General features: G+C 49.2%; 1 long non-coding RNA gene across 2 annotated transcripts, besides 5 other annotated features; it reads right to left on the bottom strand.

The window, feature by feature from the left end:
* Positions 1,824-1,984: a silencer, noted in NCBI's record as "fragment chr2:9269636-9269796 (GRCh37/hg19 assembly coordinates)". NCBI's record gives its function as "represses an EF-1alpha promoter that drives an FKBP-Casp9 reporter gene in an ReSE screen in phorbol 12-myristate 13-acetate-treated (for megakaryocytic differentiation) K562 erythroleukemia cells {active_cell/tissue: K562(+PMA)}" and the evidence as "EXISTENCE:reporter gene assay evidence [ECO:0000049][PMID:32094911]".
* Positions 7,337-18,227, bottom strand: LOC105373417 (uncharacterized). Of its 2 annotated transcripts, none has more exons than XR_922775.1 (4): positions 17,920-18,227; positions 11,448-11,570; positions 10,063-10,220; positions 7,337-7,370 (listed from the first exon to the last, which is right to left on the bottom strand). It is a non-coding gene; the product is annotated as an uncharacterized LOC105373417 (long non-coding RNA). The 2 variants fall into 2 exon arrangements; XR_922776.2 differs by lacking the exon at positions 17,920-18,227 and adding an exon at positions 13,821-14,138.
* Positions 12,020-12,520: an enhancer, noted in NCBI's record as "H3K4me1 hESC enhancer chr2:9279832-9280332 (GRCh37/hg19 assembly coordinates)". NCBI's record gives its function as "activates a minimal SCP1, AML or CMV promoter by ChIP-STARR-seq in naive H9 embryonic stem cells {active_cell/tissue: H9 hESC(naive)}" and the evidence as "EXISTENCE:reporter gene assay evidence [ECO:0000049][PMID:30033119]".
* Positions 14,339-15,236: an enhancer, noted in NCBI's record as "H3K4me1 hESC enhancer chr2:9282151-9283048 (GRCh37/hg19 assembly coordinates)". NCBI's record gives its function as "activates a minimal SCP1, AML or CMV promoter by ChIP-STARR-seq in naive H9 embryonic stem cells {active_cell/tissue: H9 hESC(naive)}" and the evidence as "EXISTENCE:reporter gene assay evidence [ECO:0000049][PMID:30033119]".
* Positions 15,353-15,432: an enhancer, noted in NCBI's record as "active region_15275". NCBI's record gives its function as "activates an Ori minimal core promoter by ATAC-STARR-seq in GM12878 lymphoblastoid cells {active_cell/tissue: GM12878}" and the evidence as "EXISTENCE:reporter gene assay evidence [ECO:0000049][PMID:35858748]".
* Positions 21,873-22,792: an enhancer, noted in NCBI's record as "H3K27ac-H3K4me1 hESC enhancer chr2:9289685-9290604 (GRCh37/hg19 assembly coordinates)". NCBI's record gives its function as "activates a minimal SCP1, AML or CMV promoter by ChIP-STARR-seq in naive H9 embryonic stem cells {active_cell/tissue: H9 hESC(naive)}" and the evidence as "EXISTENCE:reporter gene assay evidence [ECO:0000049][PMID:30033119]".

Genomic DNA, 27,228 nt, shown 5'->3' on the forward strand with positions numbered 1-27,228 from the left:
CTAAACCAAGGACACCATGGCACATGATAAGTAATTATGTGGTTTTAAGCCAATATGTTTTGGAGTTATTTGCTACATATCATTATAGCACTAATACACTCATCAGTAAATATGAGGACAGGCTCATGTCTGTAGTCCCAGCACTTTGGGATGCCAAGGCAGGAGGATCACTTGAGCCCAGGAGTTCAAAACTAGTCTGGGCAACATAGAAAGACCCTGTCTCTATTTTTTTTTTAATTAAAAAAATTTTTAAGAAGTACAAAAAATAAATAAATATGAGGACAAAGTGGCCAAGCGTGGTGTCTCACGCCCATAATCCCAGCACTTTGGGAGGCTGAGGCGGGCAGATCACAAGGTCAGGAAATCGAGACCATCCTGGCCAACATGGTGAAACCCTATCTCTACTAAAATACAAAAAATTAGCCAGGCGTGGCGGCGTGTGCCTGTAGTCCCAGCTACTTGGGAGGCTGAAGCAGGGGAATTGCTTGAACCCGGGAGGCAGAGGTTGCAGTGAGCCGAGATCGCTCCTGCACTCCAGCCTGGGCAACAGAGTGAGTCTCCATCAAAAAAAAAAGAAAAAAAAGGGCAAAGTGTACTAAGGGCAACAAAAGCACAGGGCGCAGGTGTGGGGAGGGAGAATATAATGGATCATAACCATCACCTCAGTAACGGCAGGGGCTTCTTTTCTCAGGAGGTTCCCTGGCGGAGTTTGTAAGGATGATTATATCTACACCTGAATGCCTTTTGTCAGTGTTGGTGAACTCTCAGTTTTTAAATATTGCTTCTGCCACATTTTTTCTCCTCCTGTTTTGTGACCCCAATTATAGGTATGTTTGCTCTTTTCATTCTATCCCATATTTTCTTTAAACTCTACCCTGCGATTCCCCCCTCTTGTCTCTCTGTGCTTCTGTCCAGACTATTTTCTTCTATGCCTTTCATTTGTACATTTCCTGCTATCAGACCCACCAGCGGTATTTTCAGTTTCTGTACTTTTCACTTTTCACAGAATTTCCACTTGGTTCTTTTTTTATACTTTCCAGTTCTCTGCCAAAAATTCTTAATCTTGCCTTTTCATCCTTGATCGCATTCATCATGGATAATTCCATGATCAGGATCCTCGTGGGTCTGTTTCTATTGTCTGATTGTCTGATTTTTCTCCCAGGTTTTCACCCCTGTCTTGTCTTTTTCTTACTCCAGAGCCCATTTATTGACTGCCAAGCACTGTGTGTGGAAAATGATAGAGATAATTTGAGACTCTGAACTGTTATTTTTATCCAGAAAGGAATTTTTTTTTTTGAGACGGAGTCTTGCTCTGTTGCCCAGGCTGGAGTGCAGTGGTGTGATCTCGGCTCACTGCAACCTCCAACTCCTGAGTTCAAGCCATTCTCCTGCCTCAGCCTCCCCAGTAGCTGGGATTACAGGCACAAGCCACCACATCCAGCTAATTTTTGTATTTTTAGTAGAGATGGGGTTTCACCATGTTGGCCAGGCTGGTCTCCAACTCCTGACCTCAAGTGATCCACTGGCCTCAGCCTCCCAAAGTGCTGGGACTATAGGCGTGAGCCACCATGCCCAGCAGGATTTCTTTTTGCTGCTAGAAGGTAGCAAGCAATCTCTGATCATCATAATCCAGGGGCTCCCAAACTGTCTCCAGTGACAACACCTTGAGTGTCCCCCTAATTTTTTCACGGCCCTCCTAGGCCAAAAGAAATAGATAGAGGTTCCATGTATTAGACAGTTAAGTACAAACAACTGAAGTATTCATATTCTAACAACTTAGTAGACATTCAAAAAATGATCCCCATAAATTAAAAATATTTTGTTTCATTCTTAAACTACCATACTACCATAATCACTTCCCAATGGAATGTGGTGTCCGTTGGGCGCTGCACAACTTTTTAAGCCTTGGAGGTGGATTGGACGCCATCATCTTCACTTCCAGCTCCACACGGATCTCCACGTAGCTCAAAGTCTCTATCACAGCGACTGCTGGAAGCGAAGCTCTGCAAAGACACGAAGTCATTCAGAGGACAGTCCCACAATCTTAGTTGACACTGGGAACTACCTCAAGATAGGAGTTCATTCTGTTCTGAAGAAATAATGAAAAATCAACACAAATAAATAAATAGATAATAAGTTTAAAAAAGAAGTTCATGTTATGTCTGACAGAGGTTAATGTTCTTCCCTCAAAAAAAAAGATTTTTTAAATTAAATTAAATTTTTTTTAGAGACAAGGTGTTGCTATGCAGCCCAGGCTGACCTCAAATTCCTGGGGGCTCAAGTGATCCTCCCACCTCAACCTCCCACGTGGCTGGGACTGCAGGCCGCCAGGCCAGACTCCTCAAAATTTTCAAACATCCCACTGCACCCTGTGAGCTCACTGGGCGTCCTGCGGTGCCTTGGAGTTTTGTTTAGGAACCCAGGTCCTAACCCAGTCAAGGACTTAAAAGATTTGGTGGTGGCCATGGTTCTTTCTAAGAGCTGGGTTATTTCTGTTCAGTCTTCGCTACTGGAGTGTGGTTCTTCAGGGCGCCACGAAAGTCTGGGATACTTACCAGGACCCTCCTGGATGGGCCTTGAAATCTAATTTTTTCTCTTCCAGCCCCAAGCATCTGATAAATCTTTGCTCAGCTTCACTCTTTCAAACCACTACTTCTGTGGGGTTTTTTGTTTTTTTGTTTTTTGAGATGGAGTTTCACTCTTGTCGCCCAAGCTGGAGTGCACTGGTGTGATCTCTGCTCACCGCAACCTCCACCTCCCAGGTTCAAGTGATTCTCCTGTCTCAGCCTCCCAAGTAGCTGGGATTACAGGCGCCCGCCACGATGCCCAGCTAATTTTTTGTATTTTTAGAAGAGGCGGGGTTTTGCCATGTTGGGCAGGCTGGTCTCGAACTCCTGAACTCAGGTGATCTGCCTGCCTCGGCCTCCCAGAGTGCTGGGATTACAGGCATGAGCCACCGGACCCAGCCTACTTTTGAATTAAAATCACCCCCAAGTAAAAGGAGGGACCGATGCCAGGCTCTCCTCTCTGGATTTCCCTCTGTGTGTGTGTGTGTGCATGTGTACATGCGTGTATGTGTGTGTGCATGCATATGTGTGCATGCGTGTGTGTGGGTGCATGCATGTAGTGTGTGTGCATGTGCATGTGTGCATGTGTGTACGTGGGTGTGTGTGTATTCCATTGTTTTTTGTTCACATTGGAAGTTCAGCCTAAAACAACCTAGTCTGCCACTGTCAAAAGCAGATATTCCTCAGTCTTTTTAAAAACTTATCATCTAAATTTTCCAACAGACCTAAAAATACAGAGATAATATAATTAACTCCACGAGAAAACTATTAAAACTGATCAGTAAAGTTGCAAGATACAAAATTAACATGCAAAAATCAGTAGGATTTCTATTTGCCAATAGCAAACAATCGGAAAAATAAATTTAAAATGTAATCCCATTACAACAGCCACAAATAAAATTAAACACCAGGGAATTAACTAACCAAAGAAGTGAAATATTTCTATAATAAAAACTATAAAACACTGATGATGGAAATTGAAGAGGACACCAAAAAAAAGGAGGGCAGAGAGGGGGAAAGTTCTAGAAAAGGAAACAGAAGACATTTGGTACAAGGTCCAAATAAAACAAGATCCCCCCCCAAAAAAAATGCAGGAAAAAAAATCATCAAATAAGTTATTCAAGAAAATGTCTCCAAATGATAGGATATGGATTATAGGTTTAAAACAAAATTAAGTGCCTTGCACAGTGAGTAAAAAGAAGAGTTTTACTGGGCACAGTGGCTCACGCCTGTAATCCCTGCCCTTTGGGAGGCCAAGGTGGGTGGATCATTTGAGGGCAGGAGTTCAAGACCAGCCTGGCCAACATGGCAAAACCCTGTCTCTACTAAAAATACACAAATTAGCTGGGCGTGGTGGCAGGCACCTAAAGCTCCCAACTATTTGGGAGGCTAAGCCAGGAGAATTGCTTGAACCTGGGAGGTGGAGGCTGCAGTGAGCCGAGATCGCACCACTGCACTCCAGCCTGGGCAACAGAGCGAGACTCCATCTTAAAAAAAAAAAAAGAAAGAAGAGTTTTAAAGTTTTGTTGGATAGTTTTGAAACTGATTATTGTTAGGTATGTAGGAAACTGAGTAAACAATCAAACAAAATAGAAGGCAATTATTTCAGGAGACAAGTAAACAGCTTAGGTTTTAGCTTCATGACGTGGAAACAGCATGAGTGACTCTACTTTGGGTTGGTCTGTTGGAGCCTAGTACAGAAAACACCATGGCTCAGCTATGAAGAATACTTACCTGATCGTGATAATGTAAGCATTGATTTATCTATATATTAAAATATTGGGAAGATGGGGAGGGGGATGAAAGAAGGTGCCTATATGGACCATGGGGAGACTTCCCCTTTGCCCTCTGAATGTTTGCTGAAAAATCAGCTCACAAAAAGCAGACTGATAGAAATGGAGGCCTGGTGTAGTGGAGGCCAAGGAGGGAAGATGGCCTGAGGCCAGGAGTTTGAGACCAGCCTGGGCAACATAACAATACCCCATCTCTACAATTGGTTTTTTTTATTTGTTTTTTTTTTTGTTTGTTTGTTTTATTTTGGTTTTTTTTGAGGTGGAGTCTCACTCTGTTGCCCAGGCTGGAGTGCAGTGGCACGATCTCCGCTCACTGCAACCTCCACCTCCCAGGTTAAAGCAATTCTTTTGCTTCAGCTTCCCAAGTAGCTGGGACTACAGGCGCCTGCCACACTAACTTTTGTATTTTTAGTAGAGACGGGGTTTCACCATGTTGGCCAGGCTAGTCTCAAACTCCTGAGCTCAAGTGATCCACCCACCTTGGCCTCCCAAAGTGCCAGGATTACAGGCATGAGCCACCATGCCTGGCCTACAATTGTTCTTTAAATAGGAGAAATGGCATACAAATTTGATACTCAATGGGGTACAAATGCTTACGTACCCTACTTCTTAGAGGAAAGGGAGATAGGGAAATATGGATGATTTTAGGAGGATAATAAATGATTTTTAGGGGAATACAGCAGCGATCCCCAACCTTTTTGGCACCAGGGACCAATTTCGTGGACAGGGGATGGGGATAATTTGGGGATGATTCAAGCTCATTACATTTACTGTGCACTTTATTTCTATTATTATTACATTGTAATATATAATGAAATAATTGTACAACTCACCATCATGTAGGAGCCCTGAGCTTGTTTTCTTGCAACTAGATGGTCCTATATGGGGGAGATGGGAGACAGTGACAGATCATCAGGCATTAGATTCTCATAAGGAGTACACAGCCTAGATCCCTCATATGCGCAGTTCACAATAGGGCTCATGCTCCTATGAGAATCTAATGCCACTGCTGACCCGACAGGAGGCAGAGCTCAGGCAGTAACGTGAGCAACGAGGAGCAGCTGTAAATACAGATGAAGCTTTGCTGGCTCGCGCACCACTCACCTCCTGCTGTCTGGCCCAGTTCCTAACAAGCCATGGACCAGTACCAGTCCATGGTCCAGGGGCTGGAGAACCCTGGAATACAGGATTTGAAGAACATACAATGGCCTGGGACAAATTCTGTAGGGCCTGAAGAGCAGACAATGGTTCATGACAAGTCTGTCCAGGTGTGTTGGCGGACTTCAGGCTTTGTTCTTGCAATATGAGTTCAGTGAATGAAAACCCAGGGAGGAGACCAAAGATCATTGCTTTATTCTTTGGTGGGTTCGGAGTTTAGGCAGGTAAAGGTATCGGGGGAACCAGCTCCCAATATTTCAACATAGGTTCTTTCTATTTTCCATAAGTGTCGGCCAGCTGAGAAATAAAGAGAAAGAGTACAAAGAGAGGAATTTTACAGCTGGGCCTCCGGGGGTGACATCACATATCGGTAGGACCGTGATGCCCACTTGAGCCTTAAAGCCAGCAAGTTTTATTAAGGATTTCAAAAGCGGAGGGGGTGCAAGAACAGGGAGTAGGTCACAAAGATCACATGCTTCAAAGGGCAAAAAGGAGAACAAAGATCACAAAGCAAAAGGCAAAAGCAAAGATCACAAGGCAAAGAGCAAAAGCAAAATTACTGATAAGGGTCTATGTTCAGCAGTGCACGTATTGTCTTGATAAACATCTTAAACAACAGAAAACAGGGTTCGAGAGCAGAGAACTGGTCTGACCTCAAATTTACCAGGGCGGGGTTTCCCCCCACCCTAGTAAGGCTGAGGGTGCTGCAGGAGACCAGGACGTATTTCAGTCCTTATCTCAACTGCATAAGACAGACATTCTCAGAGCGGCCATTTATAGACCTTCCCCCAGGAATGCATTTCTTTCCCAGAGTATTAATCCTTGTTAGGAAAAGATTTTAGCAATATCTTCCCTACTTGCACATCCATTTATAGGCTCTCTGCAAGAAGAAAAATATGGCTCTATTTTGCCCGACCCCACAGGCAGTCAGACCTTATGGTTGTCTTCCCTTGTTCCCTGAAAATCGCTGTTATTCTGTTCTTTTTCAAGGTGCACTGATTTCATATTGTTCAAACACACATGTTTTACAATCAATTGGTGCAGTTAACACAACAGTGGTCCTGAGGTGACGTACATCCTCAGCTTACGAAGACAACAGGATTAAGAGATTAAAGTAAGACAGGTGTAAGAAATTATAAGAGTATTATTTGGGAACTGACAAATGTCCATGAAATCTTCACAATTTATGTTCCTCTGCCACAGCTCCAGCCGGTCCCTCCATTCGGGGTCCCTGACTTCCCGCAACATAAAGGAACTGCAGACAACAACTTCATCCTGTGCTTGGGGAGAGACAGAGGATTGAGAAGCGAGAGGGGGTGCGGGGGACAACAGTTCTCCTTGGTGGGTCCATCAGGTCTTTACCTAGATCAGGGAGAAGTCTCTTCCAGTATATTTATCTTGAAGAATTTTTAAGTCAAAATACTCATTACACCAGGGAGCCAACTTCAGGGTGAATTTCCCTGTGCCTCTTCATGTACAAGGAAACTTCATTAGTAGGAAGGCAATAGATAATGTCTAAAACAGGGGGAAAGAGTCAAGAAAAAGTACTGAAACACATTATTAGAAATATGTGGGGAGGCTGGGTGCAGTGGCTCACACCTGTAATCCCAGCATTTTGGGAGGCTGAGGCAGGCAGATCACTTGAGGCCAGGATTTTGAGACCAGCCTGGGCAACACAGTGAGACTTCGTCTCTATAAAAAATACAAAAGTTAGCCAGGTATGGTGGCACATACCTATAATTCCAGCTACTTGGGAGGCTGAGACGGGAGGATCACTTGAGCCCAAGAAGTCAAGACTGTAGTGAGCTGTGATTGCCCCACTGCACTCCAGCCTGGGCAACAGAGCCAGACCCTGTCACAAAAAAAAGCAAGCAAGCAAGCAATATGGGGGAATCCCAGCAAAGTTAAAATAGTTGAAAATGCTTATCTCTAAAGAGTGAAATTCAGGTGAGAAGGTGTGAGGCAGGTATAGTTGTTTTTGTTAGAAGTGCTGTAACTATTTTAATTTTACAACTATGTACATGTATCAGTCCAATAAAACAGAGGGAAAGGCTTTATTTTATAACTGATACATTAACAAGCATTAAAAATAATTAGCATGGACTGGGTGCAGCGGCTCATGCCTATAATCCTAGCACTTTGGGAGGCCAAGGTGGGCAGATCACCCGAGGTCAGGAGTTCAAGACCAGCCTGACCAACATGGCGAAACCCCATCTCTACTAAAAATACAAAAATTAGCTGGGCGTGGTGGTGTGCACCTGTAATCCCAGCTACTTGGAGGCTGAGGTAAGAGAATCACTTGAACCCAGGAGGTGGAGGTTGCAGTGAGCTCAGATCATGCCACTGCACTCTAGCCTGGGTGACAGAGTGAGACTCCATCTCAAAAAATAATAATAACAATAATAAGCATGAAATTGTGGTGAAACTGGAACATCAAAATCCTGCTAACAATGTAAATGTGTGCAAGCCCCATGGTTTCATTTCCAGAACATTTCGAGAGCCATTCAAACGTTGGAACCCTTTTAACCAATTCTCTCACTCTAGAGCAGGGATCTATGCAGGCAAATTATGACCATGGGCCAAACCCAGCCTACCATCTATTTGTGTACGATCCATAAGCCAAGAATGGTCTTTATGTTATTTTAATTGTTGAAAAAAATCAAAAGAATAACATTTTGTGATGCATAAAAATGATAAGGAATTCAAAGTTTGGTGTCCATAAACAAAAGCGTGTCCTCACACAGCCTTGCCAATGCGTTTGCAAGGGCCTGTGGCTGCTTTTGTGCTGCAAAGGAATCTGCAATAGAGAGCTCATGACTCACAGAGCTGAGAAGACTATTTGGTCCTTTGCAGAAGCAGCCTGCCCATCCCAGTACAGGGGGAGGCAGCGTCGTCCAGGAGGGCGGCTCAAAGCTGGACTCCTCTGATTCCTGGCTATGAGACCTCAAGTTTCCTAACTTGTCTGTGAAATGGTTTTCTCATCTTAAAGCAAAGATATTATTAGTACCAGCCTTCTGGGGCTGCTGTGACGATTCAGTGAATGAGCCCCCGTAAATCAGAGGGCACCCACACTTGGTGTAGGAGAACTGCCACTGCTTCCCCATGGACATCAGTAACGCAAGCAACAGGTGTACGCACAAACATTTGCACAGCCGGCACTGCCTATGGCAGGGTCCTGACACCCGGGTGGCCTCACCCACAGCTCTGGCAGAAGCAGAGACCCGGGGCCAGTCCACAGATTCACAAATAGTCCGTTCTGTTATGCTGCGAAGCAGACATCCCTAAAAATCCCTGCACTCTGCAAACTCATGTGAGATGACCCAGCAGGCTATGAGGGAGATAGAGTTAGGGGCTTCGTCAGCAAGACATTTACAAAAGACTGGAACCTAATAAAAATGATAGCACAGGCCGGGCGCAATGGCTCATGCCTGTAATCCCAGTACTTTGGGAGGCCAAGGTGGGTGGATCACCTGAGGTCAGGAGTTCGAGACCAGCCTGGCCAACATGGCAAAACCCCATCTCTACTAAAAATACAAAAATTCGCTGGGCATGGTGGCAGCCACCTGTAATCCCAGCTACTCAGGAGGCTGAGGCAGGAGAAGTGCTTGAACCCAGGAAGCGGAGGTTGCAGTGAGCCGAGATCGCGCCACTGCACTCCAGCCTGGGCAACAAGAATGAAACTCTGTCTCAAAAAAAAAAAAAAAAAAAGATAGCACAGTTTTACATGTTAAATGGTTAAGAAATACATACATACTAAAATTAATATGGTGTTTTCCTTTAAAAAGACTTGAGGCTTGTTTGAGGAAGTGGGCGTTGGGGTTGTGAGCTGGGTGATCTGGAATTGGGGGGGCATTCTAGCACCAGAGCTGGATGGATGTGGATGTGACTCCTAACACACCCTGTGAACGGAGGGCTGGAGGGTGCATGGGTGGGGTTGTGTGTTCCTAGGGTGTGTGCGAGGGTGGGGTTGTGTGTTCCTAGGGTGCGTGCACGGGTGTGGTTGTGTGTTCCTAGGTTCTGGTCAGCCAGGTGCCATTCTCTGCATTCGCCTGGTGTTTCTGAGGACAAAATTGTGCAGAGCGAATGTGAACTTTGAAACTCACGTTATGCTCCAATTGTTCCCTACTCTAGCAATTGGGAATTGCTATTGGAGCAATTGGAGCAATTTCATTTTCAAAACAAGCCGTACAGCGGAACTGAAAGTATCACATCCCTTGAGGACTCCGGACATGTTGGGGAAGGGGAACTTTCTAGAAGGTGGCATCTGCAGATGTCAACATCGGCGGCGGTGCCAAGAGGGGCTTTGCAGGGCCACAGGGCAGCAGCTCCATGCAGCTGGCCCCATCCCAGGCCTGGTGAGCTCTCCTGGCTGTGTACTCAGCCCTGAGCCTGATGACCAACACCAGATGCACAGCCTGCTGTTTACCAAGCCCTCCCACCCACACCAGGGTGCCTCCTGACAGCCTCACGGGGACAAAGTGCAGGCATCATTCGTCCACATTTGACAGAGATGGAAGGGGGGCTCAGAGAAGCTGATTACTTACCCGAAGACACACAGCCTGCAAAGGGAGGTGGCACTTCCACATCCCACGCTCTGGCTGACCCTCTGCCTGTCCTCCTGTGCAGTATGTGGGGTCTCGTCACCAAGCGCTGGGATAAACTCGAGGGGCCAGGCTCAAGGCCACGCGTCCAGAGGCAAATGCTGCAAGAAGAGAGGTGCAGGAAACCCAGGTAACCGAAAGGCACCTGCCTCGAGTGAGCTCCCTCCAGCCCTGACACCTGTTCCTTCTTTCAGTGGAAAGGACAAGCCGCCGTCCACACTGCGCCTTTAACAGTTACACCCAGCGAGGCTGAGGAATGTTCCGGAACAGCCAGGATGTGGGCTTCTTTGTAGCGGGAGTGTGCCACATGTAGTTCAATCCTGAGTCGGAGGCCTGAGCAAGCAGCTTGCAAGATGTTTGAGGAGCTTAGCATTGACTGTGGCAGGCGGGCCATTGCTTCTATGATTAAAAAGGCCCAACTCCCCCCTACATCTGCCCTCGACTCTCAGGGCACACCTGGGCCCTCAGGCCGGGTGTGCTCAGCTGAGCTTGGCCATTTCTCCTCCCTCGCTCCACAGGCGCACAGGGCCAGTTGGTCATCATGCAGCCCACGTGGCCTTTGGGACCAACCCTGCCCTGCTGGGATATGCTTCAGGGACCTGAGGATGGAACACTCCCCTGGGCCAGTGGACAGACACACACACACACACACACACACACACACACACACACAGAAGCAAAAACTGCTTTGTCCAAGAAAGGCACAGACGCATTTATAACCAGATTCCAAGGTCAGCTGCTTGGAGCATGAAGCGAGGTCATGTCCTCTTGCTTCTTGAATTAGGTCATCTCTCAAAGAAATCTCAGGGTCCTCCTTCCAAATAACTCCAAGACCCCCGGCCCAGCGGATGCTCTCTCAGTCCAAAGGTCAAGCCCTGGTCACAGCATCTCAAGGAGACAGACAAGTCACCTGAGTGTCTGTTGCAGCGGCCAACACCACAGGGTGTCGCTGTTAGGAAAGGTACCCTCCCCCTCCGGCCCTGCGAAGTCCCCCAAGCTCACAACCAGAAATCCTCAGCCACCAGGCAAGGAGCTGGCCTGTCCTGTCTTCCTGGCTCCTCTCCGCCTCAACTGGACCCACAACATCGAGTCCCCTGGGAACAGAGCATGGCACACTGACCATGCTTCTTAGGGCTGCCCAGTCACAGCCCCACACTGTGTTCAGAACCCCCACCCTCAGGCTCCCCCGCTGGGCCAGGGTGGGAGCCAGGCTCCCCTCTCTGTTTCAAAGCCCTTCCCCCAGCGCCCCTCCTGTGCAGGGATCAGTGGTGCTTCTTTCAGGGGAAAACCACAGTTGCCCCGCATGAAATCTGAGGACACATACGTACGGCTGCGTGGTGGACGGTGTTGGGGATCTTTGTCATTGCTATGAGAATCTTGCTCCCAGTGCATTCCATCTGATGCCTGTTGGAGGTGTGCACTGCATCAGGTGAGGCCACCATCCTGCCCACCTGTGATCCAAAAAAAAAAAAAAAGATCTGGGAGGAGAATGGAGATCTGGAGTCGGCCTGTGTGATGGGGGAGAAGCTGCTGCCGTCCCGAGCCTCAGAGGCAGAAGTCAGTGGCCCAAACTCCAGGGCCTAGTGCGTACACATGCACACACGTATGTGCAGACCTGTGTGTGCCTATGCACAGATATGCATCTAGGATGTGTGCACACATGTTCACATAGAGGATACAATGAACTGCTACATGTTTCCGTGTATATATATTACATATAGATATTTACTGGTTTGCATATATGTGTATATATACTGGTATATGTGTGTGTAGACTATCATGCATGTATGTGTGTATACATATACTAGTATGTATGCGTGTGCATATATAGAGGTATATACATGTGTGTGTACCCGTATCTATTTACTAGTATATATGATGTGTGTGTGTACTGGTATGGATGTGTGGGTATGTGCACTTGCTGGTATGTATGTAGGTGTTTGCTAACACATACGTGCACACGCAGAATGCTTCCAGGGGACTGCACAGCCTCTAGTTCGCAGCCCCCACCCCTCCCTTTGCCCCTGCACTCTCCCCTCTCTGAGCTGCATTCGCATGAAAGGGTGCAGGTTCTGACCCCGCAGCGCCACCTCCTGGACACCTAGGGATTTCTGGCAGCGCCTGCTTGGCCACCAGCACTGAGGGAAAGATGAATCCGAGGGAGATCAGGGGATGGGGCACTGAGTGACGTCCCCAGGATCACAGGGTTCTCATATGGCCCCAGCAGTCCATTTGCAACTCTACAGATGAATTCCAAAGGGCCAGAACCCTTAATTAATCAGGGACTCCTCCACCTCGAAGTGGGAAAGACAGCCCCAGGAGAGTAAAGTCTGGGTGACCCCAGGAGGGACAGGGGAACTTGCTGGGCAGCTGGCCCTGTGCTGCCACAGCTTGTCAGGGAGGTTTCTACAGCACGTGGAGGGAGGTGGGTGGTGGGGGCAGTAAGCAGAGGGAGGGGAGGCTCCAGGGGGTCCCGGATGGGGTGCTCGAGGCTTCGGGGAACCTGGAGTGGAAGAGAGTTTTAGAAGAAGCAAGCCAGGGCCAGGCACAGCGGCTCAGGCATGTAATCCCAGCACTTTGGGAGGCAGAGGAGGGCAGATCACCTGAGATCAGGAGTTTGAGACCAGCCCGGCCAACATGGTGAAACCCCATATCTACTAAAACTACAAAAATTAGCCAGGCATGGTGGTGCACTTCTGTAATCCCAACTATTCAGGAAGCTGACGTAGGAGAATCACTTGCACCCAGAAGGCAGAGGTTGCAGTGAGCCGAGATCATGCCACTGTACTGCAGCCTGGGTGACAGAGTGAGACTCCATCAAAAAAAAAAAAAAAAAAAGACAATGCTTAAATAGGGCAAATTGAAATCCTGTCCAGTGGAATAGCACTTCTGAGGTGTTCCTGCCAAGACAGATAACGCAAATCAAATCCCCAGGGGGCAGCAGTCTCTCAAGTGGCGGCACAGCCCACAGAATAACTGGCCCTTAATCTTCGAAAGTGTCAAGGCCATGAAAGTCAAGTAAAGACTGAGCTCAGCTTCAGACTCTAGGAGACTAAGGAGATGTGACAACCAGAAGCCACATACCATTTTGAACTGGGTGCATTCACTGTGAAGAAATCATCAGACCACTGGGGAGACTTGAACAGCAGCAACGCGCCCTGCGAACTTGAGTTGTGAGTGAAGGTTGTTCTGACCGACCATGTAGGAGAAAGTCCATATTTGCAGGAAGTACATGGGAGTATTTGGGGTGATGGAGTATTGGAGGTGGAGTATTAGGGAGCAAGTGTTGACAATTTACCCCCAAATGGTTCAGGAAAAAATGCATGATTTGTGCTGCAGTGGAAGCTCTTCTTAAGTCAGAGATTATTTTAGATTTTTTAAAAATTACACACACACGCCCACAAAACTATCTCTGGCAAATTCCTGAGAAGAGCAGGACTCTCCTCCTCCAATGAGCAATTCTAACCAGGGAAACTTCTCTACGTGGCATTGAAATCTGGCCCACAGGAGGTGCTTCCCTGGCCCCAACCCCCTCTTCCCTCAGACTCCTAACAGGATGGAGTCAGGGAAACAGGATCAACACACCTGGGGGTCCAGCCTGTAGAGCGTCGGCAGGGAGGGTCATCGCTGGCTTTTACTGGGCACTCACTGTGTGGATGGGGTTTGAAGTCAACCTGACCAGGGATTGAATCTTGGCTTACCTTAGCTGTGTGATCCTGGGCAAGTCGCTTTACCTCTCTGAGTCTTGGCTTTCTGCTGTGTAAAATAAGGACAAATAACCTCTATCTTGCTGGGTTGTGGTTCAGATTAGAGAGAATTGTGCAGAATGTCAGGTACAGCAATGGGTTTCCAGACTTTAGGCCTGTGGGAAGTCAGCCTCAGAATCTCCTGGGAAACTTCTTATCAAACACAGATTCCTGTAACCTGCTCTCAGAGATTCTGATCAAATTCACCTGGCCAGTTTCAGCTACACCTGCTGAACTATTTACCGAACTATTTACAGCTCTCCAAATGCACTATAGCACTTCTTACCACTATGCCTTTGTACACACAGTTCCCCCATCTAGAGGCCCTTCCCCCTTTGATTGGAAAACTCCTAGTCATCCTTCAAAACCCAGCTGAAATGTCTCCCCATTGATGAAGACTTTCCTAACCATGCCCTCATCTCCCAGTACTCGCTTCTTTGCCAGATCAGTTGTTATGACATGAATAAGAAGTATAATTACCTTCCATTTAGTGAATCTATTATGTACCTCTCATTTCACATACTGTATCTTAACAATAGTTACGCCAAGTACTAATTATTAGCCCTGTTTCCCTGTTTACATATGAAAAAGCTGAGTCTCTGAGGGCTTAAGCAGCTTGCCCTCAGTCCCACAGCTGATAGGGGACAAAGCCAGAACCCCACGCTACTGAGCCCCGAATCTCTAGCTCTGGTCCTTATGGTCTTGGTCTGCCTTCCCCTCAGCACGTGAGCCTGCAGATGTCGGAGCCCAGGGTGTGCATTCATCGCATTCATCTCTTTTTTTTTTTTTTTTTTTTTGAGACGAAGCTTCGCTCTTGCCCAGGCTGAAATGCAATGGCGCGATCTCGACTCACTGCAACCTTTGCCTCCCGGCTTCAAGCAATTCTCCTACCTCAGCCTCCCGAGTTGCTGGGATTACAAGCGTGCGCCACCATGCCCGGCTAATTCTTTTTATTTTTAGTACAGAAGGGGTTTCACCATGTTGGCTAGGCTGATCTTGAACTCCTGACCTCAGGTGATCCGCCCACCTCAGTCTCCCAAAGTGCCGGGATTACAGGCGTGAGCCACCGCGCCGGGCCTAGGGTTAGGGTTCATTCACCTCTGAGTCCTCATCAGCACATTCCCTGATGCGCAAACAGCAGGGAACCCTAAGTGTCGGTCCCTATCTCCTAGGTCCACACCGCCTTCCGTCACACCAGGCTCTCTCCAGACTGGCTGAGAGGGTGGAGCTGGGAGCCTCTGAGGCTGGTAAGCCGCGTGCCTTTGGAGGGTGGGGTAACAAGCAGGGCCTCTCCTAAGGAGGGCTTCCCCGGCCTTCCTTCCTCGGGGCGCAGCATCGACATTCGCCACCAGGGGGTGCTGCCGCACCGTTCCCGGCGCCGCCTCTGCCCCGCGAGGGACTGGGGCGTTTTCCACCGGGCGCGTGTCTGGGGCTGTGACTCAGAATCCTCAAACTCAGAGTTCGCAGACGGAGGAACTCATGCTCAAACGTCTGAACAAAAATATACAGAGCATGAAATTTTTACTCCAGAAATAGTGCACCTCTCTCCCCCTTGGGGAAAAGCGTTTTCCCTACTTCCGTAGGAGTTAACTCGCCAAGGCTTTTAGGAGACGCCGCACAGCTGTGCTCCCGCTCGTTGAAAAAAAGATGCCAAAAGTGTAGAATTTGACCACAAACAACCGAGCTTCACAACGGAGTGTGGCTTGTGTGCCAGGCCCTGTGCTGGGGGTGCAAAAGGCCCCCCGTGTCCAGCCTGGCAGCAGTGACTTCGGGGTCCCTCCTGCAAGCTTGGCTACAGGTGTTCAATCTTACTGACATATTTTACAAATATAGCTACATTTTTCCAGCCCAAATTCAGTACACATGACCTAGCAAAGCATTCCAGAGGCAAACGGCTTTCTAGGAAGTGTAGCTTAGGCACCTAAATGCTGGCATTCTGGGGCTGATGGCGTACGGGAGCCATGAGCAGAGGGTTTGAAAACGGACCTGTCTGGAAAGCCCAGGTCAGAGGGTCCCAAGAGCAGGGCTGGGCAGGCCCCAGATGCCTCCCTTGTAGGGGATTCTGGGGTCTCCTCCCCTCATAGACCCTTCTCCTCCACGAAGCTTCTTCCGGGGGCCAGAGCAAAGTCCCTCTTCTGTCTGGCATTCCACCCAAGCCGCCTCCTTTTCTGTCTGCACCTTCTCCTGGGAAATCTCATTCAAGTCCATGGCCTTAAGCCTCTATCAAGGATGCCCCTAAGGCCGGGTGCAGTAGCTCACGCCTGTAATCCCAGCACTTTGGGAGTCTGAGGCGGGTGGATGGATCACCTGAGGTCAGGAGTTCAAGACCAGCCTGGCCAACATGGTGAAACCCCATCTGTACTAAAAATACAAAAAATTAGCCGGGCATAGTGGCGCACACCTGTAATCCCAGCTACTTGGGAGGCTGAGGCAGGAGAATCGCTTGAACCCGGGAGGCGGAGGTTACAGTGAGCCAAGATTGTACCACTGCACTCCAGCCTGGGCCACAGAGCAAGACTCCATCTCAAAAAACAAAACAAAACAAAAAGCAAAGATGTTCCTAAGACACCATTACTGAACATATAGACCAGTAAATAACAATGATTACACAAATCACATGATAAATTGCATAACACCACACACACACACCACACACATCACACACACACCACACACACACACACACACCCCCCACACACACACCACACACACCACACACACACACCACACACTGTGAACCTAAAAGTGTCTGAGACACCCAATCAATCTGGAAAGTTTATTTTGCCAGTGTTAAAGACACACCCATGTTACAGCCTCAGGAGGCCCTGAGGTCATGTACCCAAGTGGTGGGGGCACAGCTTGCTTTCATACATTTTAGGGAGACACGAGACATCAATCAATATATGTAAGATGTACATTGGTTCGCTCCCCTAAGGCAGGACAACTTGAAGTTGGGGGAACTTCCAGGTCATGGGTAGATAAGAAACAAAAGGTTATTTTGGGTCTTTGATCAGCCTTTCATTGAATACACAATTTACGTGGGAGGACGGAGTAGAGGAATAGTCACTTAGGCCTTAGTCTGACTCAGTGAACCTGCGTTTTTATTTTAAAATAGGGCAGAAGAAGCCATCAGATATGCATTTGTCTCCGGTGAGCAGAGGGAACACCGAGTTCTGTCCTTTTCCCACACCTAGGAAGACAAGCTATCAATTTACGTTGCCAGGCTGAAATTCAACAGAACTGTTTTAGGGTTTTGCCGTCCACAAGGAATTTCCTTGTGGGAAATTGTGATGGAGGTATGTAGGCATGTAGCTTTTTTTTTTTTTAATCTTTGTAGCTATCTTATTTAGGAATCAAATAGGAGGCAGGTTTGCCTGATGCAGTTCTCTGTTTGACTTTTCCCTTTGGCCTAGTGATTTTGGGGTGCTGAGATTTATTTTCCATTCACAACACACACACACACACATACACACACACATGAGATATTAAACTGGCAACCGGCACAGTGCACAGCTCCATGTTCCAGGCATGGTGGACCCAACCTGGTCCCTGACCACCTGCAGCCCCCACCAGCTCAGGCCTCCCTCCTGTCTGATTTCTACCTCCTCATGGGGCTGGGCTTCCCCGGCCACAGTTCTCTCCTACTTGGCCATTTTCTGCAATCCGGAGTTTTTGTTCCCAAACTTGTGCCTAAATTTCTCAGGCACTAGATGATGCAACAGGGGAGTCTGGAATTTGGAGACAGTTCAAATCTCAGCTGCGCCACCACTAGCATCCACGTGACCTCCAACGAGTCATTACCCTCTCCAAGCCTCCGTTTCTTCCTACATGAAGTGGGAGAAACCACGCCCACCCCACAAGGTTCTTGGTGACAAAGTGAGGGGAACCATCTAGATTGAGCAGAGGAGTGTTTTAGTCTGAAGAGCAAAATGATTTGGGAGTGAGGGTGTAAACCCTAGTGCTGCCACTTGCTACCTGTGACCTTGGGCAAGTTATCTAGCCTCACATACCTCAGTCTTCTCAGCCATAAAATGGGTACAATTATAGCACTTACCCGCTTACACAACAACGGTGAATTGAGTTAGTCTCTGTAGAGCGTGTTTAGCACTGTGTCCAGAACACAGTGAGTGCCGCCTCCATGATTTGGTAACACAAGCGTTTGTCGTGGTCATTTCAGGAAGGCTCTGGTAAGTGGAGTGCAGCCCGGATGAGAGCCGGCTGGAGAAAGCTGACTTGTGTCAGCTCAGGGGACAGAGGGGTACAGAGTAGCCTGGAGGCGGCGCCAGGTGGGAGCTGACGAAGCCTGCGGGGGGGCTGAGGCCAGCGTGGTGGAGGGAGCCAGCGGGAGCGCTGCACTTTGATGGGCTCTGAGCGCCTCCGGGCACCCGTAGTTCAGCTGCTTCTCTCCACCCCTCCAAAGGGCGGGAGAGACAGGAATCCCACCTTCCGCCATGCCCTCCTTCAGGGCCTGGCCTCACACGTGCCTGGTAGCAGGATGGCAACCCGATGGCGACTTCAGGCTTCACACCCACAGACGACCGTAATCAGAGAAAGTAAAAAAGAAAGAAAAAACCCTCCCAGCCCAGGATTTTGACCAAGACTCCTGACGTTCACCTCGACTGGACCTCTTGGGCCATGTGCCCAACGCCAAGCCAGTGACCATGGGGAATGGAACGGCTCCATCAAACAGGGCCCTCCTTGCTGGGAGTGGGGCAGGCCCCCCCCCCCCAGGCACAAAGAGACCCGGGCTGGGATGGAGGACGTGGGGAACAAACATTGGTGGGCACCAGCCATGTGTGTGCCACTGTCCCTGTTGCATTTGCAGCCGACCTCAAATCTGTTCTTCAGAGTTGACTGTCGGATGCTCATCACTGAACGTCTCTCAGACGCCCCACAAGTGTTCATATTCAACAAGTCTAGAAATGAACCCTCACCCTCAAACCCACCTTCTCCCCCTGGATTTCCTGTCCTGGTTGACACCTGGTTGAACCACTCACCATCCTAGTTCCCCAAAACCTGGGAATCACCACCCCCTCCCCATCCCCCAAGTCTGGCCAATTCCATCCCCCGGCGGCATTCATACCTGGCCCCATCTCTCCTTTTCCAATTGCCACCACCCAGACCCAATACTCTGCACCAAGACCCACAGGCCACTGTCTTAGGCCAAATATTGGCTCTCTGGCCCTTGCCAGAGAAAGCTAGCCAACCCCTGACCTGGATCTGTAACTGGTCTCCTGGCTCCCATCCATCCTCCACATCTGATGGCATCATTCAACAATGTAAGAATGTCAGTGGCCCCTGGTGACCTGCCACCCACAGCCTGCAGGATCTGACCCCCGCCTTCCCCTGCAGCCTCACCGTACACCTTCCTACCCACCCTGCGTTTGGGCAACTGGCACAAAAGGCTCCCAAACACGCCATGCTTTTTCATGTTTTTCTTTATACTTCAGGTGCATGAGGCTGAGTTCCTCATATTCCTCAACGCCGTCAGTGCCCCATGCAAGACCCCATCTTTTTAATAATCAATGTTATCTCTTTCATTTCTGCCGACCACTCCCATTTCCCTTCTTCCCAAAGGCAATAATGCTACCTGTGTTAACATGTATCTTTCATCTGGGTCTTGTGAAATACGTGTTGCCAAGTTTTTGTGTGTGTTTTAATGCCTATAAATGGTGTTGTTTTATATATTACATTTTTTTGACCATTTTCTCTAAACACTGTTTAGTTTAAGACACATTCCTTTTGCTCTTTGCACAACTCATTTAATTCTCATTGCTGCGCAGTTCTCCAAAGTATGGATTAAAACCGTTTCATGCATCTATTTTCCTGGATTGCTTTTAAATTGACACCATCTCAAACAAAGCTGCAGGGCATGAATTTGTATATGCCCCTTAGGTGAGAATTTCTTTGAGAACTATTCCCGGGAGTAGAACAACTGGGTCACAGAATAAACCTGTGCTTGATTTCACAGCTGCCCCTAGAAGGACAGTTACATTCGCACTGGAAGGCCCGTCCTTTATTTCCTCCCGTCCGTCCTCAGGTTTCTGAGTGTTTCCAGTCGAGTGGCCTTAAGATAATACCTCATTATTGTCTTAATGTACAATACAGTTCTCTGATTACTAATTTGGGCATCTCTTGATATGCTTGTTTGATTTGGGGAAATCTATAAATTACCTGTCCATATCCTTTGCCCCCTTTTCCATGGTGGCTTCTGATTTTCAGGGGTTCCTTTGCTTCTTGTTCTTACCTCTGCCTCTGCTGGCCTACCCTGTCCCTGGTCCTCTAAAGGCAGCTGTGTGCTCACATGGCCCCTGCAAAGCAGGTACCCCAAGCCACAGACAAGGCCCCTGCCTCAGGTGATGACATGGGAACCCCCTGTGTTCTTCTTGAGTTTTCTGCTCTTCCGTCCCCGGCCCACACTCCTGCTCAGTGACTCTTCTGGGACCCACCAGCCACATCCCCTTGACCTTGTCTTGATGAGGAGCCTTGCTTTCCCCGCCACCATTCTGGCAGCAGAGTTCAGTTCTGGCTGCTGCCTTGTGCTCCTTTCCCCTCGGCCAAGCCAGGGTGGGGGCCAGGGGAAAGCCACTTCTGTCTGAGCTCCATTCTCCAGGTGCCCCCACCAGCACACTACAGAGTCTCAGCTGCGATGGCACCATCTCTGGGGGCTTCCTGACCTGACCTTCCCTGGCAGCTGGTTCCTCCCTCCTCTGTGGTCCCTTGCAGCACTTATCACTTTGCTACAGTGAGGGGGTTCCACACCTGCTTCTGCATTTACTCAGGGAACTCATTAAAAGCGGGGATCCGGCCGGGCGTGGTGGCTCACACTTGTAATCCCAGCACTTTGGGAGGCCGAGGCGGGCAGATCACTAAGTCAAGAGATTGAAAGCATCCTGGTCAACAAGGTGAAACCACATCTCTACTAAAAATACAAAAATTAGCTGGATGTGGTGGTGGGTGCCTGTAGTCCCAGCTACTCAAAAGGCTGAGGCAGGAGAATCGCTTGAACCAGGGAGGCAGAGGTTGCAGTGAGCCAAGATCGTGCCACTGCACTCCAGCCTGGTGACAGAGCGAGACTCTGTCTCAAAAAGAAAAAAAAAAACCAGGGTTCCAATCACCTCCCTCCTTTCTGTTTCCCTGGCACGTGGAGGTGGCCAGCAAGTGCTCGATCATCACAAAGATTTCCCAAGCACTGACTACGCGCCAGGCATCGTGCTAAGCACTTTACAAGCATTATTGCATTATCACAATTTTATAACCCTATGTGGTTGGAACCTTTAATATCCTCCTTTTACAGGTAAAGACATTTGAAGAAATTAGGTAAGGTGTCCAAGACCACACAGCTAGTGAACAACCATTCAATGAATGAACCAAGGCATGGGCACATGCTGCCAACGCTGAAGTTCATGCCAAGCAGAGCCACTGCCCAGAGCAATCTTCCTTGGCACAAAATGAATGCCAAATGCTTAACTCTGCTCCTCAGACGGTCAACATGAGTTGCCATAGCCTGGGGAGGTGACTTGGAAATGGGGACTTCCCACATATTCCTGCTGCACACAACCCAGGCTGGACTGGTCTTTTAGCGCCTAATCTGCAAGAGTGCTGGCTGCACTGGCTGGGAATGACAGTCCCCACACAGCCCTTCAGATGACACCAAGAGTGAGGGACAGGGAAGGGTCAGGGGCTTGCCCTGGCTCCAGCAAGCACCCGGCTTGCAACTGCTGCCACCCAGGCCGGGGAGTCCTAGGGCCTGCACCCGCCTCAGCTGCTGCTCCTGCGGCTCTGCTGATTGCCCGACTGGGAAATTCGGGGGGTTGCCCGGTTGTTTATGCCACTCTTGTTTGGGGGACAGTCAAGCCAAGCCACCCTCGGGAAGAGCAACCCAGGACAGGTGCCTGCCTGTAAAGAGCAGGTGACGATCATTGGACAAAACCCCTGGGCCACTTTCCCATCTCCAGGGCAGCCCCTGGCTGGGGGGATCCTGGTGACGTTCAGCGGCTCTGGGCTCTGTGTGGACCTGGACAGGGCCGACCAGCTCCTTCCTGCCCCCCAGTATCACAACCCCATCAGTGGGCTCCCCACACCCCCATCAGGTCAGCTCCAGAGAAAATGACACTTCGATGAGCAACCTAAGGTGGGGAGAAGAGGATTCAACCTGGGGAGACAATGATTTGGAGGTGGTAAGTTTGACCTCAGTCTGGAATAGGCCAGGGATCCTGGCTTTCTTACTTACAAATAGTGTGGCATGGGGCAATTTACTTAAGCCCCCAGGGCCCCGGTTTCTTGTCTGTGTAATGGGATCAATAGCGCCTCCTCCAAGACGCCATGGGGACTTGCTGGGATACCGTGTGAGGGCCTCAGGCCGATGGCATGCAGGGAGTCCTCAGTGCCCGGGACGCGTTGACTGTTCCAGCAGCCAGTGCGGGGTGTTTGGGTGGGAAGGAAAGGAGCCAAGTTTGTCAATGGAAAGGGAACCAGCTTTTGTCAACTCCGCAAGAATTCCTAGAGCACCCTGTGGGCAGGCAATGATCAAGGCTGTGCCAAAAATGGCCCCTGGCCTCAGAGCTCATGCTCCAGCGTGGAAATTGGAAACTGGAGGCCAAGAAGGGGGCTGGCTGCAATGAATATAAAATCACACTCCGGGGCAGTGCGCTCTGTGGGGCAGAGCAGGGTTCTGAACGACGTAGGCTCCATGAGGCGGTGGAGCAGGCTGGGCTTGCCTCTCCTTTCCTAGACACCACACCAGGCATTTCTATGCTCGTCACTTCACTGAGTCACCTCAGCAGTCCTCTGGGATGGGTCTCTTTGATAAAGATTTTTTTTTTATTGATTCTATAGATAAAGAAACAGTGGCTCAGAGAGGTTGAACGACTTGCCCAGGGTCACACAGCCAGGTGGGGACAGTGTTGGGCGGGTCAATCCCAAACCCATCTGAACGGAACTTGGTCCACACCTTTCCCACCACTCCTCACTATGCTGACCCCTAGAATTCTGGTTCTAGGAGGGTCCCCATCAGTCCCTCTCACCCCAGGGAGACAGACTCTGATGGCTGCTGAGGCAAACTGCCTTTCTGTCCCCTTGCAGCTGGCTGTGGTGTGGCCCTGGCACCCCTCGGGGGCTTTGGGGAAGGTCAGATAAGCCTGGTCTGGAGAAGAGCCAGCCATGGGCTCTGTGGCTCCGCTTAGGGCTGCTGGCCCCTCGGGGCCTCGCTGAGAGGTGGCTGGCGGGACCTGGAGAGGATGAGAGTTCAGCGGCTCTCGATGGCCCCACCTGAGCCCCAACACTGGCTGGAAAACCATGTGGAACCCCAGGGGCAAACTCCAGGGATGAAATGACACTTCACCAAAAAGACCCGTAGACCCTGGCCTCTTGGAGCTGACACCCTCGTGTAAAGGTGAGGGGATGTCACTTCTTAGACCAGGTTACACACTGACGGTGGCTTCACTCTTGCTCTCTCTCGCCTGTGTCCCTGCTCACGCTGAGGGAATGCCTGTGGAGAGGCCCAAGAGGCAACAAACCGATGTCTACATTCTGTGGGGACCTGCGGCGGCCGCTGTGGCTGCCACCTGAGTGAGTGTGGAGCGGTTGTTGCCCCAGCTTCCCCCTGACTGTAGCCAGCGAGAGACCCTGAGCTGGAGGGCCCAGCTAAGCCCACCGCGTTCCTGACCCACAGGAGCTGTGGGATCATAAACGCTAAGCTACAACATTTTAGGGTAATCTGTTATGTAGCCATAGTGACCAACAAGTGGGAAAAAACACATAAACATCCCTGAAAGAAGGCCTAGGAAGCTGGTCATACTGGGTGTTGCGGGGAGGGAACCGGGGATCATTAAGGTCGCTGAGAATTAAGGTGAGAGAGAGACTTCACTCTGGACTCGGGCTTTTGAAACATTGAACTAGGCCAAGCGTGGTGGCTCACACCTGTAATCCCAGCACTTTGGGAGGCCGAGAGGGGCGGATCACTTGAGGTCAGGAGTTCGAGTCCAGCCTGGCCAACATGGTGAAACCCCATCTCTACTAAAAATACAAACATTAGCTGGGTGTGGTGGTGCATGCCTGTAATCCCAGCTACTCGGGAGGCTGAGGCAGGAGAATCACTTGAACCCGGGAGGCAGAGGTTGCGGTGAGCTGAGATTGTGCCACCATACTCGAGCATGGGCGACGAGAGTGAGACTCCATCTCAAAAAAAAAAAAAAATTGAACCAAGTGAACATATCATCTCTTCAGTAAATATGCAGATATAATTTAAAGGAGTAAAAGATTGGGCCTTCTCTCTAGACGAGAAGTCACGGAAGTAGGAGGAACAGGACAGCCATGATGCCTTGTCCCTCACATGCCAGCCTCCACCTGGGACTAAGCATCAACTGATTCATGATGGATGGATCCTGGGAGCTCCTGAGAACCCGCAGAGACCAATGCTCCATGCTCTTGCTGTACACACAGCACACATACCCCAGAGCCCAATTTACCTCCTTCTCCACCTACTGGCCCCTTTTCCATGTATTACGCTCATCAGGAAACGAGGATTGTGTGTTTGAGTGCTGCAATCAGTAAAGGAAATGGCACCGATCACCTGTCCCCTATTCTTTCTGGTTCTCTAAAGGCATCCCTTTGAGTCTGGGGAGGGTTGGAATTAGCGGGGGGTACAGTGGGATTTCTTGTCTGAGCAGAGCCTGGGGAGTAGGGATTACCTTCCTCACAGGCGTGGCCTGGTCAGGATGGGTCCGCAGCAATGCTCCTCACCCTAGATGGCCCTCACAGGGTACTCTGCCTCTTCCAGGGACACTCCCTACCTTCTGACAGCTCCAGCTCCCCAAGGGTAAGGAAAAGAAAACAGAAGGAAGGGTTTTCCCTCTCATCCTGTTATCGTTCCCAAGGCCTGGTCATAATATAGAGGATGCCTACTAACTAAATAGCTCAGCTGCTTTAACTCAATTAGGGAAACAAGATTAATAATAGAAAACATCCCTGGCCAGGTGCAGTGGCTCATGCCTGTAATCCCAACACTTTGGGAGGCTGAGGCAGGTGGATCAGCTAAGGTCCGGAGTTCGAGACCAGCCTGACCAACATGGTGAAACCCCAACTCTACTAAAAATACAAAAAATTAGCCAGGCATGGTGGTGCATGCCTGTAATCCCAGCTACTTGGGAGGCTGAGGCAGGAAAATCGCTTGAACCTGGGAGGTGGAAGTTGCAGGGAGCTGAGATTGCACCATTGCACTCCAGTCTGGGCAACAAGAGCGAAACTAAAAAAAAAAAAAAAAGAAGAAGGAAGGAAGGAAGAAAGGAAGGAAGGAAAGAAAGAAACATCCTTAAGCAAACTTCTCCTGACGAGTACAGGGATGTCTTTTTCAGGGCATAATCTGAGCCCCAAACAAGTCTATATGAACTTTGCTTCTCTACGAGGCCAGGGGAGCAACACTCACAGAACACCTCTCTGTGGACATGGCCTGACCCCTGCGTTTTCCTTGTCAGCTCAATCCCCACATTCAGTCGTGATGAGCGGCCTTTTGCAAATCCCCTACGCACTCTGCTCTGCAGCAGCAATATGCATACACTGTGTAATTTAATCCTGTCGGGTGGAACTGCCATCTCCATTTGCAGAAGAGGGCTTCAGGGATGCTAAATCCGTTATCCAATTGGACTAAGAGTCAGACAGGGTTTTCTCTCCTCCCCGCCCGCCCCGTCCCTGTCTTTGGGAAAGCAGCCCTGCCAGGTCCTGTTTCCTGTCCCCCCCCAATTCCAACCCTCCCCCGGTGCAAGAGCCACCCACTTCCTCCAGGGAGGCATCCTCCACCCTCATGCTGGGCTTTGGCAGTTTTACGACTCCATCGGTGCTAAGAGTGCGTTTTAATGAATGGACCATCGACAGCAATTCATCAATTAGTTAAAAGTTGGATCAGATCAATTCTCCCATGGGGTTTGGCTCCAACCGCTTCCTGGAAAGAATGCCGGCTGTGTTCTCCACTCCACCTCAGTCTCCACCCTACGGCTTCTGATCTGTCTGGTGCCAGTGTGAAATAAATCTATCTAAAGCCAGAGAGAAGAGATCCATTTCATTTTGTTAAGCTGTGCTCTTTTGTAGGTCACTTTTAAAATCAACAAGTCAAATGCTTTAAAATCAAGAAATAAAGCAATTTCATTCGCATAGTTTCCCATTGTGCAACGCCTTGTTGTCCTAGAGAGGGAGAGGTGGAGATATTCAGAGTGCCAAGCTTGATGGATCAGATATGGGGCAGAGCGACCATGTGGAAATCACTCAGGAGGCAGGGTGCCAGCCGAAACCAGGGGTTCATGAGGAGCCAGTAGCTTCTCCCAGATGCTTGGCCCATAACTCATCACCAGGGCACACTGGCACCTGCTGGGGAGTAAACAAAGTCCTGGGTGTTGAGTCCTTTTCTCTTGCTGGCTATTAATGGCCTTTGTCTTCTCTTCTGGGCTAGTATCTTGCGGCAGGGATTGAGAAAGACCAAGTTAATAATCGTTCTTCCTTTCTTCCTTATAACCGAACCCAGATTCAATTCAAGGAAGCAATGTGTCCTGCTAAAAAGCTAAATTTCCCAGCCACTCAGCAATGCCATGTGGGCCTCTTACACAGTTTTTAAAAGGAGATTAAATGGAAGATCTTGGGTGAAGCTTCTAGGAAATCCTCTTCTGCCCTTTAACCTTTCCCTTCTTTCTTCCTGGAACAGGGACATGATGGCTGGAACTCCCGCAGCCATTCTGTGACCACAAAGGGCAACAAACCCATGCCAGGGATGGCTGTAAGGAAGGATAGAGGGAGAATGGGTTTCTGACCGGCTGCCAAGTCCATTTGGGTCCACACTCTCCTGGACTTATTTTGCCTAAGGAAAACATACAGCCCAATCTTCTTTAAGCTACTATTATTTGTATTATCTGTTAATTGCAGCCAAATTCAATCTCAAGAAACTGAAAAGGGAGTAGCCAAACAATATTACATTAAGGAGGCATTGAGATGATAATAGAATATTAAATAGGAAAAGATTATTAGAAAGCATCTTGCTCAACCTTTGTCACATACAGGAAAATTGAGGCCTGCAACGAAGAAGAGACTTGCCCAAGGTCACAAAGATAATTAGCCTCCAAGGTAGGGCTCTCTCCATGTAGCTGTGTGCTCTGCTCCTGAGTCCTTCTCCACCTGCTCTACTTTTTTTTTTTTTTTTTTTTTGAGATGGCATCTTGCTCTGCGGCCCAGGCTGGAGTGCAGTGGTGCAATCTCGGCTCACTGCGAGCTCCACCTCCCGGGTTCAAGCAATTCTCTGCCTCATCCTCCTGAGTAGCTGAGATTACAGATGCCCTCCACCATGCCCAGCTAATTTTTTTGTATTTTTATTGGAGACGGG

This window comes from Homo sapiens, chromosome 2 (genome assembly GCF_000001405.40).
Source record: "Homo sapiens chromosome 2, GRCh38.p14 Primary Assembly".
NCBI lineage: Eukaryota > Metazoa > Chordata > Mammalia > Primates > Hominidae > Homo > Homo sapiens.